The following is a 14392-nucleotide window of genomic DNA, read 5'->3' on the forward strand; positions in this document are numbered from 1 at the left end:
GTGGGAGGTAACTGAATCCTGGGGGTGGATTTTTCCCATGCTGTTCTCATGATAATGAATAAGTCTCACGAGATCTGATGGTTTTATAAAGGGAAGTTCCCCTGAAAGCATTCTCTTGCCTGTTGCCATGTAAGACGTGCCTTTGCTTCTCCTTCGCCTTCCACCGTGATTGTGATGCCTCCCCAGCCATGTGGAACTGCGAGTCCATTAAACCTCTTTTTCTTTATAAATTACACAGTCTTGGGTATTTATTCATAGCAGTATGAAATGGACAAATACAGCCTTAATGAAAATTGCCCTTTGAGTATAAAAATTACAGGGCCAGAGCAAATCTTTCCAAAGCAAGCAATCTTGGATTCTGTCTACAAGTTGCGATTAACCCACCTGGGACAAGAAGAATGTGTGTTTTCAAATGGCCACTGATCTGTTGCAATAAATAGTATTTTCAAAAGTAAGGGATGCGGGAGTAGAGCAGCAGCACTTAGTCAGCTTAATTTTTTATTACCACACTTAGTGTGTACCCTAAATGTACCCTGAATGCAGGTTCTTGAGGTGCCAGTCTTTTGAGATGTGCTGGACCTGAGAAAGGGGCCAGGTGTAGTGGGTGCTTAGGGCCACCAGGTGCTTTGAGCCATGGCAGAGCTCAACAGTCATCCTTGTTTTCCTAACACACAGTCTGTGGAGGCTGTTGCCCTTGTGAAGCTGTCCCGACCATCCTCCAGTAAAGCCACAAGCACAGGAGGGAAGAAGGCCAACAGATATGGGAGATGTAGGAGAAATACATGGAGAAAAACATGGACTACTTCCATTTCAATAAAACTTCTTTGAGCATCTGAGCATTTTTTGTCACTACATTTTTGTCCCCTTGCAAATCTGGTGCTGGTACATAAATCTGTTTCCATGAATATTTACTGAGTTGACCATCTGCTAGAACTTGAATTTCAAGCTGGGAATGCAGGGCTTAAGGAATACCTGTGATGCTGTGGACGGCCCAGGCAGAAGGTCAGGGCCCACCCAACTGTAGAACCCCGTATCTCCTGGCCACCAAATGTGCCAACTTTGAAGTGAAATAAAAACCAATAATCTCTTCTGTCCATTTTAGGTGTGAAAGGAAAATAAAATCTTTGCACCCCAAACTCATTATGCCAAGGAGACAGTTAAGCTTGGGAACTAAGTCATGCAAAAAAGAAAAAGAAAAGAAAAGAAGAAAACTTGCCTTCTTTTTTGTTCCCACACAGATGGCTGCAATGACAGAAGGCCACATATCTCCCCAGGTGGCCTCCCTCACAAATTGCTCACATGGAAATTTTGTATGGGCCCCCAGATATTTCAGAATACATATCCCCCTTATAACCCATAACCCTAAAGCAGAGTTCTATGGAATCTCACCTGACAGTGTAAAGTAGTAGCTTATCTTCACAGGCATGGGACAAAAACAAGACTAGAATGCTCCCTCCCTCTGCCCACCCTGAAACAAATGTACATTTGACTTCTTCCTCTACTCTGTGTTTACCTTATCCTGTATAAAATACAGATTTACTGAATGCAGATTTACAAGTGCAGATTTACAAATGCATAATTAACTGTTTCTCTACTCCCTCTTTTCACATGTAAAACGTGGATTCAGCCAGTGCTAATCAAAGCCTCACTAGAATGTAACACTCCACTCATCGTCTACCTTCCTCCCCTTCTTTTCTTCCTTCCCTTGCTGCTCACTCTTTGCCTTTTAAATACAGAAGTCCTCAAAACCTTCTTTGGAAAAAGCCCTGACCACAAATCCTATTGTGACTTATGTCTCTTTCTCCTGGACACATCCTCAACCTTGGCAAAAATAAACCTCTAAATTGATTCAGATCTGATTCCGATACTTTTTGGTTTACATAGTCCTCTCAGTAAAGGTAATACATTGTTTTCCTGGTTAAATTTGCAAAAACCAGGACAATCCAAGGCTTTTCACTGGACACACGTGGGGAAAATCCAGAGTGCCAGGCTGAGGTCGGTGCGATGCAGAGGTAGTGGGAGTTATCACAAACCTCTGCTTTCTCCTGAGCAACCCAGAAGTGCAGAAGGAGTTTTTGCAAGACATACACAGATTCTTACCTACATGTACTTGAGCTGTTTCTCTAACTGCCCTGATAACTTGCCTCATAGGTGAACTTTTACAAAGTAAAAAGGCAGGCTTAAGGAAACAAAAAGATAAAACTGCTTGTCCAGAATGAGATCAAATCTGAAACTGGATTCTATTCAATTGCCATTACTAATTCAAAGAACCACCAGAATCTAAAACTGAAATATCTCCACGCCTCTGTTTCTCTCCCTTGCTCTCCCATACCAAAGTTTGGGGTCTTAAAAAGGAAGCCAAATTCAACAGGGACAGATATTTTAGAAGAAAAACTCATTTTATTTAAAACTTCATTTTATTAAACTCAAGGTATTTGTCTCTAGTTGATCTGATGACTCAAAGTTTTCATGTTGGCCTCCTCTGAGGGCTTTGGAAAGCCTCGCATGCCCACAGAGGATGCAGCTGATAAAACAGAGACGGCCAGAGACAGTCACTTATCCCAACATCAATGGGTGCTTTCAGTTGATTCAGATGTAATTGAAATGCCCCATTTGCATTGAGTTCGCCAGTGCAGGAAAACACAGAAAAGAAGTGTCGGCCTTGCCCCGGGTTATAAACAATGTCCGGGTTTTTCATGAATTACATCTTATGACTGTTTCTAAATTTGAGAAAATAAATTGTCTAGCCACCAATGTGTGCAGATCTCATTTCATCTTCATTCAATATCCACTCAGCAGACAAAAAACCAAATGAACAAATCACCAGACTCCATCCAGAAGAGAAGACATTCCTGCCAGGGCGTAGCCCACATAGTCCCCACCCCGTCCCCTCACAGCAGCAAAAGTGTGCTTTAAAACAGCAGATTTCTCTGGCAGCTGTGTGTTTGTAATCACCAAAAGAAATATGTCCCCCACAATAAGCTCAAAACCATCACATACGTATAGAATGATTAGGTGCAGATGTTGACTCTTGTACAAATATTTTACTATGGATTCAATTATTAAGCTTTTGCCATACTTAATCACATAAACTATGCTTGAAGAATATATATACCTCTTTTCAACGCAGCAAATGCTGGGTGATGCCCTGGATTAGAGGAGGGATAGGACCATGTGCCGCTGTATATTGGGGAAAAATTCATTTTCTTCCTAAAACGACCCCATAGTGTGATACGAGAGTGACTGGAGTCATTTTATTAAAATGTTTAGTGTGAAATAAGGCAAAATTTTTAGACACACACACACACACACACACACACACACACCATGCTAACATCCATGCCTTTAGTTATTACAATTAATTAGTAGAGTAGATTTTACTTAGAAGAACTTAGTTGACAGATTTGTTTGTGGTAGAGCATCTCCCCCTCTACGGAGCTAGAAATATCACGGTAAATGTGGCGGTTAACAACATCTCTATCTGCTGCTAAGAAAGTGTTGACACACATGTTTGGCTAATCATTTATAGCAAATAGCTATTCCCATAAAGGCTAAGATTAGTCGGAATTGGCATGCACTTCTTTCTTCTGTGAGTCTCATTTGATTATGGATGATGTTTTGTTAGAGTGTATCCATGCAACCTCATAAATGATGTAAAACCCAAGAAAAACACAGACTCTGTGCCAAAACCGAATTAAATACACATCAGAAAAATGTGAGCTTGATTCAGGTTCAGGTACGATGAAACTTGCCTTGGTCTATTGTTGTTAAAACCTTCAGGAAAACTATAAAAAGCAAGCTTGACATTAATATCAATTTAAAGTTGGCGTGGCTGCCAACAGTTATTCCACATGAAGCTCAGCTGGCTGCACCATCTCCAGCACAACATATGGTGGCAGCAATTGCAGCCTCCAAAAGCTGTGAAAAATGGCCCACGCAGACTGGGCAAGGAAAAGCCGTCTTATCTGTGTAGATGTGCTGCCACTGTCAGCATTTTTCTAATGATGAGCACAGACCCGTCTGGGAGTTAGTTGTGGAGGTAATTGTTCCTCCCACTTGCGCTCTGGGTGAGCAGTTTCAGAGTCTCTTATCGGTGCCATATTCCCTTTCTCCTTCCATCAACTGACCCCAAGAGGTCTATTCAGCATGCCACCTCTTTTCTCTGCTCTGCCACCCCCTCCTCACACAGATTCTGGGAGATCCAAGCAGAACTACCCATAGTATTACTTCTGGAGCCTCTCAAGGAATCTGGAAGTCCTCTATCTTATTTCTCTACTATCCACAGTCCCAGGAATGGGGCTTAGGAGAACAAGGGCAATACCAAAGCCCAGTCGAGCACCAGGGCCTCCAACCAGGAAAGCATCTGTTCATCTGTGACTTGAAACATCATGTATTCATATGGTATGTGCCTGCTACTGGGAAGGGTTCTACCAGGTGTTGGGGGAGAAGGGAGAGGGACAAAGACCTGGGTGTGAAATGGTTGCATAAACTTCACCTGCTTGCCTGCTCACTAGGGAATGGAATCATAGACACCAGAAAGCAAAGTCACAAAGGGAAAGCAGGTAGAGGGTGTGAAGAGTTGAAACTCTCGAGTATCAGGTGGGCTGATAACCATTTACCCTGGCAAGGAAATAACTGACATCAGGTGAGTCGGAGAGAATGCCAAGTTAGCTTCCCCCAGGGGAGGAGGCTAGGCCATTAACACTGTGAGTACACGGAACACCCAAGTTTGTGGAGGAACCCTGTTCTAAAGCTGAAACCACTACTTATCACAGGAGTGTCTCATGTCCAGAAACCTAAGACTCTGACTCCCTTCTTGAGAGTTTTTATTTGTATGAAAATATAGCGTCCCCTTCAAAATTCATACTGAAACTTAATCTCCATTGTGGTGGAAGTAGGAGGTGGAGCCTTTTAGGAGGTAATTAAGAGGGATCCACCCTCATGAATGGATTAGTGCCTTATGAAAGGGCTGAAGAGAATGAGCTTAAGGCCCTTTTTGCCTTTCTGTCCCTTCTACCAAGTGAGGACAGAGCGTTTTTCCCCTCCTGAGGATGCAGCAACAAAGCCCATCTTGGAAGCAGAGACTGGGCCCTCATCAGAAACCAAACATTGATCTTAGACTTCCCAGACCCTAGAGCAATGACAAAATAAATTTCTGTTCTTTGTATATTAGCCACATGGGCTAAGTCCAGCAGCTCACACAATCTTACTCCATCTCTATCTCCCAAATGCAAGTTAAGCTGCTGCTATGCCATGTGACTTAACCCAGTACTCCCCCCCCACTTTTCTGTTATAAACTCCTATATATGTCAATCTCAACAAGGAAGAAAAGTGGGATGCTCTTTTATTTTAAACAAAAGCTGTAGGGAAGAGAGGGGAGAAGAATGGGCAAGCAAACACAAAAACACACTCAGACCTTTCCATCTTGTGCTGAATGCTTTTTACATTTGTATTTACTTTCAAGATACTTAATAGGGTCAGCTTCTAATCTCCTACAGTCTTCATTACCGGATAACTCCTGGTCCTCCTTGAAGACTTGGCTCAGAAGTCAGCAACTGCAGGCCCCTTTGGCCTCTGGGCATCCTTAGCACCCATTCATACATCTACTAGGGACTAATTAGATGGTGTTGACTCACCTTTCCTTTCCCAGTGGATTGAAGTTCTTAAGAGAGGGTAACAATGCCTTTAGCAACATTTGATGGAACTGTGTTCCATCAAATGGAACTCTGTGCAATGGAACTGATGGCAATGACAAAAACGTTGTACATCTGCACTTCCCAGTTGGCAGCCACCGCCCACACGACTATGGAGCATTTGAAATGTGGATGATGTGACTGAGGAACTGAGTCTTTTTTCATTATATTTCATGTTAATTCATTTAAATGTATATCTCAATCACTGCACGTGGCTAATGGCCCTCATATGGGACAGTGCAGCTCCCAAAGCTCCTATACTGCTTGGAATAGGGAACCCGGCCCACTGTTAATAGAATAAACTGACCTTAGGAGTTCAAAACTATCTTAGTTCTTGGCTTAAATGGTGAAAACTTCTGAAATATCAGGGAAGTTACTCATCTCTGTCTTTATTCATTTTCCACACATTTGACCAATCGCCCTGTGCCAACCTGGTGGGACTGCTGTCTCACTAGACCCCCATTCCATGCAGCTAGGGCCTCCCCGCAGAAGCGCATGTGAACAGAGACCTGCGCCTTGTGTGGGAAGATCTGGAGAGGACGATGTGTGCTCCAAGCAGAAGTCCAGTACCTGAAAAGGCCCCTAAAGTCCTGGTAAGTGAAAAGGGGAGTCTGCTCTTGAAGGCAGCAGTGGAAGAGGTGGTCTCCAAACAATGCAGGGCCCTACAGGCATCAGAACATTTGCATTCTACTTTAAGCATACTGGGAAGCCATTGGAGGGCCCTGAGGAGGGGCACAATGTGATGTTCCTGAGGGTTTAAACCCACTCTTCTCACAGTTGGGAGAACACTAGACACAGGTGGGGGGCAGGAAGGAGAGCAGGAAGACAGGTGGGGGGCAGGAAGGAGAGCAGGAAGGCAGGTGAGGGCCCCTCCCCGGTGGTCTGGGGGTAGAACTGGCCTGGCCAGAAGGAGGCAGGCAGAGGGACAGAGCCAATAGGATGTCTCCAGGTTGAGCTGGAGTACTGGGCACTCCAGACACAGAGATGTCTCCTGCAGTGAGGTCGGAGTGGGTGGCAGACCTGCTTGCTGAGGAGTCCAAGATTTCAGGATTGCCAAGGTGGATGCAGGGAAGAAATGTTGGCGATCCCCAAGGGACATCTATGTGGGCATCTATGTGGGCATGTGGTAGGTGAAAGCAAGCAGGGAGACATCCAGAAGAGCTGACCTCAGCAGCCACCACCACCCTTTGCTCTGAGATGTAAAGCCTGTTAACACAAGAATACACTGTGATGGGAGCAGACCAGTCACATGCCTCTTTCTCTCTCTCAAAGATTACAGGAGAAGGTCCGCCCAGCGACTGAGCTCGGATCCCAAAAGCTTGGCACAGGGCTGGTGACCTACTGGGGTGCGCAGGATGGCTGCGGCACTTTAAATCGCCCCGGAGCTCTATTTCCCATGGACTGAACCCTTAGATATAGTTGTTGAGAAGAACTGGGATGCCCCCCAGATTTTCTTAAATTTTATTTCTCACAGTGGACTCTCAGCAATGAGATAAATTTAGATTCCCAGTTAAGCAACGCACCATGGTAATTGTGCAAATATGATGTTTTAAATTACACTTTTATTATCTTGCTTTTCTCTTCCAACTTCTAATTCTCCTTTCTCATCACTCTCTGGTTGTTCCTGATCTGTAACCCTTCCTCCTCACAGGACAGTCATTAAACGGCTCCGATCTCCAGTAAATGGTGGAAAGAATGAATGGGTTTGGCTTTAAGCACTCCTAAATAGACAGTTGGGAAGTGGTCGAAAATTAAAACCAGGCAGCTTAATGATATTAATATGGTCTGTTCAAGAAAATGAGCTTCAGCCCCTTGTCTCTGGGCTTGGCTTCGTCTATGACCTCAGAGCTCAGAGGGAACAGCTGGGAAGGGGAGGCTGTTGGTGACTGGGCCCCCCAGCAGAGGAAACCAAGCAGTGGGACTCCTCTCTAGCCCCCAGGGTAGCTTCGCTCGCCTCACGTGGAAACAGGAAATCCAGCTTCCTTGGGTCAGAATGGACAGCCGACGGTTCCCGCAGAGATGAGGCTGGTGGAGGCTGAGCGGATAATCCCTCAGCATCTCTCCAGCACCTCTTTCCCAACTCTGCCTGAATATGGAGAGCTGCAACCAACTCACCCACACCCCAGGCAGCCTGTTAGGGCTAATGTTTTTACTTGCTGGGATCTCACTGAAAACTTTACAAATGGAGGAAGTTTTACAAATTTGACATCAAGAATTCAGAAGGTGAATTCACCAGAAGCCTGGTGAATACAATGCAAGGATGTGATATTCATATCCAAATGTCTCAGTGTGAGGATTTGCAGTGGGTCATTGCTTTTGATTTATCATTGAGGGCAAACAAAACGTGAATTATATTAACATCTTGTCAAGAATAGCAGTGCCATGATTGTTTGTCATTTCATTGCCCCAAATATATCGAGCACCATATCAACTGCAGACAACAGCGAAGCCTAAAATGGATACTTTTAAAATCATGCATAAAACGGCAACTTTCTAACAACTATGCCGATTCTTTTGATCTCTAGAACGGGAGGCAGGCAGGAGGGAACGCATTTTGTCAGACATAAAGACTTTTCCAGGTTGTCCTCATTGGCATCTTCGGATGCATTCTACTCACACTAAAACAAATCTGTTCTGACTCATTGATTTCCCCAATCACATGTGGATCATCCTAGTAGCACAGGAAGGATCTAAAGCAAGTACAGTCCTGATGCCCCAATGAGAACGAAGTGAATGAGGGAGGCAAAGTTCTAAGATGACCCCTGAAAGTCCCTGTTCATCCCCGGCCCCAGTATACACAAATTGTCACCCAGTTATTAAATCAATTACTAATCTAGGTTCTGCTGTGAAGAGATCTTGCAGATAAAATCAAAGTCTTGAAGATGAATCCAATGAACTGACTTCAAGATACAGAGATTATCCTGGGTGGGCCTGATCTAATCAGGTGACGAGGCTCTTCCTGAAGAAAGATATTTGAGGGTGACTGGGAGGGAGATTCTCTGTTGCTGGTTTGAAGATGGAGGGGTCCATGTGGCAAGGAATGTGGGGAGCCTCTAAGAGCTGGAGTTCTCAGTCCTACAGCTAGGAGGAACTGAATTCTGCCAACATGAGGCCTCTGCATGAGGCAGAAATAGATTCTTCCCAGAGCCTCCAGAAATGAAAAGTGCCCTGCCAGCACCCAAATTCACTGCACAAAACCCCTAGCACGAAATCCAGCCTCACTGCACCCTGACTTCTGACCTATAAGATCTGTGAGCTAATAAACGGCTATTGGTTTCAGTAATTAAGTTTGTGGTAACTTTTGCACAGCAAAGGAAAACTACAAAATCTGTTTTGGAACCAACAGATAAAGATTGCTAAGAAGATGCCATGGCTACATGGTGTCCCTGCTCAGCCTTGATTTCCTCACCATACTGGCGTGGTAATGCCTGTCTGTCATGCCTCGTTGGGAAGGGGTGAGGACTGCCAAGAAAATGTGTAGAAATCTCTCATAAAAATAGAAGCTGCCACCAAAGGTAGAATAAATCCTATTCTTGTTGTCAATGAGTATAAATAATTACAGTTGTTCTTATTTTCACTGTTGGAGACATTTCATTTTTTTTTTCACAATGTTTTTAGAAAACACAATAGTATCAGGAAAATAGCCTTTCCCAGGCAGCAGTGCTCAGAAGGCAAGCATTCATTGAGATGTTGGTGGTTGTTTCTTGAAGAAGGGTGCCAAGGTCTAATAATCATCACATTCTCGGACAGGGTATCAGAGATTAAAGGTCCTGAGAAGTCCTGCAGCAGAGGAACTTGCTCAGTATTATCTAACCTGGCACATTTTTCCTCACTGACTCAACAAGCACGCTCCTCCAGCCACTCAGCTGAATCTCATGGAAATGCAGTGGTCCATGGAACCCACTTTGAGGAGCTGGTTGAGAAGCTAATAAAAACAAACAAACAAATGAAGATCTGCTGACTCTCTGTAGCAGGTGATCTGTTCCTTCCATCATGTCAGGCTGTGAGAGTGCCTGTACCCCATCTAGTGCCCAGGGCTCTCTGCCAGCTTTCAGACACCCCCATCCCTTTGACCTTGGGCCTCAATGTTCCAGGCACTCTGGGCAAAGGAAAATGAGCTCTGGTAACAATATTTAAGGTGAGGGGCACCGCCCTTCAATACACGGGGAAATGTACATCCTCAACATGTTCACTAAGAAGTTAAAGGCATTTTTAATGGGAAAATATTTGGCTAGATAAGAGAATGAAAAATCACTGTCTTTAAAAAAAAAAACCCACCTTTTAACTTATCCAAATTCCATAAAAATAAACACTCTATCTACTTGCAAATAAAAGATAAGGCATTTAAAACAAGACCTGCTATGCCAGATAAAGAAGTATATTATAAATCAACAGGAATTTATATTGTATGGCCTTGGGCCAAGACAATAGGCAGATCAAGGGAACAGAGTAGACAGTCCAGAAACGGCCTCTCACACACAGGGACTAACACATGAGCAATATGACTTAAAAAGATGAATTACTCAATAACAAAGTCAATAAAACTTGCTAATTCTTTGGTAAAAAGAAAAAACAAAGTTAGTCACCAACTCTCATCTTATTTTAAAATAAATTTCAAACGAATTTAAGTATAACCTCTAAATATACTAAAAAAAAAAGGATACATAAATATTTAATCTCAGAGTTAAGAAAGAACTTTTCTACATAATCCCAGAAGTGAAAGCACAAAAATAATTGAGACTACATATAAATTTCTATATTAAAGAAAAACATAAATGAAAAGGCAAAGGAAAAATGGAGAAAAATATTTGCAACACTTATGAAAGACAAATGGTGTTATACAGATGTAAATGAATAAGAAAAAGTTGAATTCCCCAAAAGGAAAATGGACAAAGGACATGAATAGGCAAAGTAAATTAAAACACAAATGGCCAATAAATATGTGAAAATATATTTGACCTCACTGTTAATGAAATAAATGGAAACAAAATAATGAGTTATCTGTCCAATAGGGTATAATAAAAATGAGTGATAATCCTTCCTGCTGGTTTGGTTATGGGAACGGAGTCAGTTGAAGGGAGGGTAAATTTTAAAATTTCAGGAAGGGAACGTAAGAAAAAAAAAATCAAAACTTGGAAATAGTCAAAAGGATGGCTCTGTCCGTGTTCTCATTAGGGGTAACGGTCTTTGCTTCGACTTATTATTTTCTATTGGTTAGAATCACCACAGCCATGTGAGGGTCCCTGGTATTATAACACACAGAACACTGACAGCAGTGCCCATGAGTCTTGTCTGGTGTTGACACAAAGGAACAACGCCCCGTGGACTTGGAAAGGACCGCAGCCCAAGCATCAGGGTGTCCTTGTATGACTGAATGACCTTCTTCCAAGGCTTCTGCGACCTCTTTCTGCACTCTGTTGCCATGCTGCTGCAGCCTCACTGTCCTGCTGGCTGTCTCATTGCATTAGAGAAATACACCTTTGACATATGCTCTGTATGTGTTTGTATGAAAGTCATGTTTTTAACTTTTTAAAAATGATACTTGGACAGAAATTTGGCAAATATATATCAAGGTTCTCAAGTGAATATCTCTTCTCTGCAACAGGAATGTCGCTTCTGGAAATTTTCCCTCTGAATAGAATTAGATAGAAGTTGAGGCCAGGTGTGGTGGCTCATGCCTGTAATCCCAGCACTTTGGGAGGCCAAGGTGGGCAGATCATGAGGTCAGGAGATCGAGACTATCCTGGCTAACATGGTGAAACCCCGTCTCTACTAAAAATACAAAAAAATTAGCCAGGAGTGGTGGCAGGCGCCTGTAGTCCCAGCTACTCAGGAGGCTGAGGCAGGAGAATGGTGTGAACCTGGGAGGCGGAGCTTGCAGTGAGCTGAGATCATGCCACTGCACTCCAGCCTGGGCAACAGAGCAAGACTCTGTCTCAAAAAAAAAAAAAAAAAAGAAGTGAAGAGACATCAGCAAGGAAGTTCAGGTGGCTTTGTCTCACAATGATAGTTTTAAAAAAAATGCCATTGGTTCTCAACCTAGGGTGATTTTGTCCTCCAGGGGACATTTGGCAATGTCTAGTGACAGTGTTGATTGCCACAGCTAAGGTGAAGGGATGTTTCTGGCACCCAGTGGGCAGAGACCAGAATGTGAAGCCACATCCTGCAGTGTCCAGGGCAGGGTCTCTGAAAAGGATGGGCTAACCCAAACTGCCCATGGTACCAAGGCTCAGAAACCCTCACTTAATGTACCACCCTAGGGATTAGGAGGAACAAATTAAAGTGGAATGTTTCACAACCATTTTAATTATGATTAAAAAAAAAAAACTACGATATTGTCCGTGTATATTTATGTTTAAGACTTATTGTTAGGTAAAAAAATTATAAAGTTATATTTGTGGTGTTCATATGATCAGAAAAAATTAATACATTAAAATTTCATATGTAAAGAATATTACATCTTTCATGTTTTCCACAGAATGAATACATTTTTGTATATATGTGTATATACACAGAGAGGGAGAAAGAGAAAGTAGCATATAAATAAAAATACATACATTTTATTACCTATTACAGTATTTATTCTTCTACACACTTCTCAGTTCATGTATATACGGGAGCTTTCTTACATCCTGCACGGATGCCTGAGGTTCCACCACTAAGGAGTCTTGTCTCTAGGTGAAGAGGTCATTAAAGCTGTTTATGTAAAGCCTGTGTCTTGGAGACAGGGTGTTATCTCTTTATCAGTCACATGCATTGGGTATGAAATGGCCAATTGGACTGGCTGGTGTGCCTGTCACTCAGCACCGCCCTGGGACCAGACAGCTTTGGTGACCGAGCTGGAGAGGGGCTCCAGAGCTGGACTGACCCTGAGAAGACTCCATCTCAGAGCAGCACAGGGAGGAGATGAGGCCCCACTGGTTTCCCTGGGGCCAGGCCTCATGTCAAATTGCAGAAACAGCCTGAGGACAGAGCCATGGAGAGCCGATGAGAGGGCAGGCTTGTCCATTCCAACTTCCATCTCTGCCTCTGACCCACATCTGTGGAATCAGGGCGGTGAACCAGAAGCCTCTGGAGTTTCTCAGTGCTCTGATCCCGTGAATTCCTCCTCTGTCCCCGCGATTTCGCAATGAATGGATGCTTCCCATTCTCACCAAGTGCCTGTTGAAACTTTCCTCAGCCTGACAACTTTCTTCTGTTACTTTCAAATGATCACAGGCTCCCAGGAGGAAAGTTTAGGTAGACCTCTCTTCAAGTGCTGCGTCCCAAAAGTCCCAAAGAACTGTCTACCTATGAGGCGCTCTCAGGACCTGGGACGGTGTGATCATGGTATCTGGGGATCAGCCAGCGCTGCTTCCTGGGGAGGAGGAGGCACCGGGTTACTGGCTCTGGGCTGCATCCCCTCGTCTGGGTCTGTGCTGTTCCTGCACTTCATAACATAATTTTCCTCTTATTCCTTACGGCTCAACAAGTCTTCTACTGCTCTCAGTCACTTTATCCTGGGAGTCGGATGTTTGCCTGGTTTTTTAGTGCATGTGAATACCTACCCAAAATTGCTATGTGATTTCCAAAATGCTGAATTCCGTAGATTCTTTGAGACCAGTGACTTTCACTCTTTTAATCTATTTCCATTGGGTTGAACTGTGAAGTATGATGGGGAGAGAAAAGAACACCTTTGTAAATAGCAAAAAAACAAAACAAAACAAGAAAAACCTCCACAATGTCTTGAACTTCACAGACTTGTACAAGGTTGGAGCCAGTGTTCTTAACCCTGGCACTATTGACGTTTTAGGCTGGACAATTCTTTGTGGTCAGAGACTGTCCTCCCTGTGGAAGGGTATTTAGCAATGTCCCTAGGCTATACCTACCAGATGCCTGTAGCTCTGCCCTTAACCCCCACTACAGGGTGAAAAGTCAAAAATGTAAAAATGTCATATCTAGGGCAACATAAGGATCCATGTGCCCCGTTAAGCCTTCACTGTGAAGGTGCAGAAGAAGCCCAGAGCTCGTCTCTCTTCTGTGGAGATGGATGCCTCCTCTTGGTGGCCTGCAAGAATGTGGTTGATCCCAGACCATACTTCTGAAGAGTCAACAGTCCCATTGAGCAGTAGACCATAGCTGGGATGGTTTATAAAAACTGGTCCAGTACCTACATGCAAGTGTTACAACTGATCATCTTTGTGGTAGAAATTGTGATAATTAGGAATGATAATATGTTCTTTGTATTCATTCATGCAATCTAAATTGTCTATGTTTATTCATTTAGTAATTTTTTAAAAGCTCAAGAAATGGAAGAAATGAGAGAGATGTTTCATGTACTCTCAGGTGATGTGGCCAACACACCCTAATGTCACCCCTCCCCGGTGATCTATGTTTTGGATAATCCACTCCCCTGAGCATAAAGGGGCTTGTGACATAATTCTAGATAATAGAATACAGCAAATGTGATGGTTACATCTGATGTGAGATTCTGCCTTAGCAAGTGGGGGCAAGAGAGACTCCCTCTTGCTGACTTGTGTAAGAAGGGCTGCCGTCCTGTAGGAAGGACTGTGAGAGGCCACGTGGCAGGAACCATGGCAGCCCCTGGATGCTGAGAGTGGTCCCCAGCTGATAGGTTTGGCTGTGTCTCCACCCAAATCTCATCTTGAATTGTAGCTCCCATATTTCCCACATGTTGTGGGAGGGACCTGGTGGAGATA

The 14392-nt window shown here is 43.6% G+C and overlaps 1 long non-coding RNA gene across 5 annotated transcripts in view; it reads right to left on the reverse strand.

Moving 5' to 3' along the window:
• LOC101929200 (uncharacterized) overlaps positions 1-14392 on the reverse strand; it is a 163580-nt gene that overhangs the window by 119320 nt on the left and 29868 nt on the right. For 3 of the 5 annotated variants that reach the window (XR_241729.6, XR_001742584.3, XR_007059118.1), the window contains one exon: positions 12257-13334. The exons of the other annotated variants lie outside the window; for them this stretch is intronic. This is a non-coding gene — a long non-coding RNA (uncharacterized LOC101929200). Of the gene's footprint in view, positions 1-12256; positions 13335-14392 lie in introns of those variants that run through there. 5 annotated transcript variants of the gene reach the window in all.

This window comes from Homo sapiens, chromosome 5 (genome assembly GCF_000001405.40).
Source record: "Homo sapiens chromosome 5, GRCh38.p14 Primary Assembly".
Taxonomy (NCBI): Eukaryota; Metazoa; Chordata; class Mammalia; order Primates; family Hominidae; genus Homo; species Homo sapiens.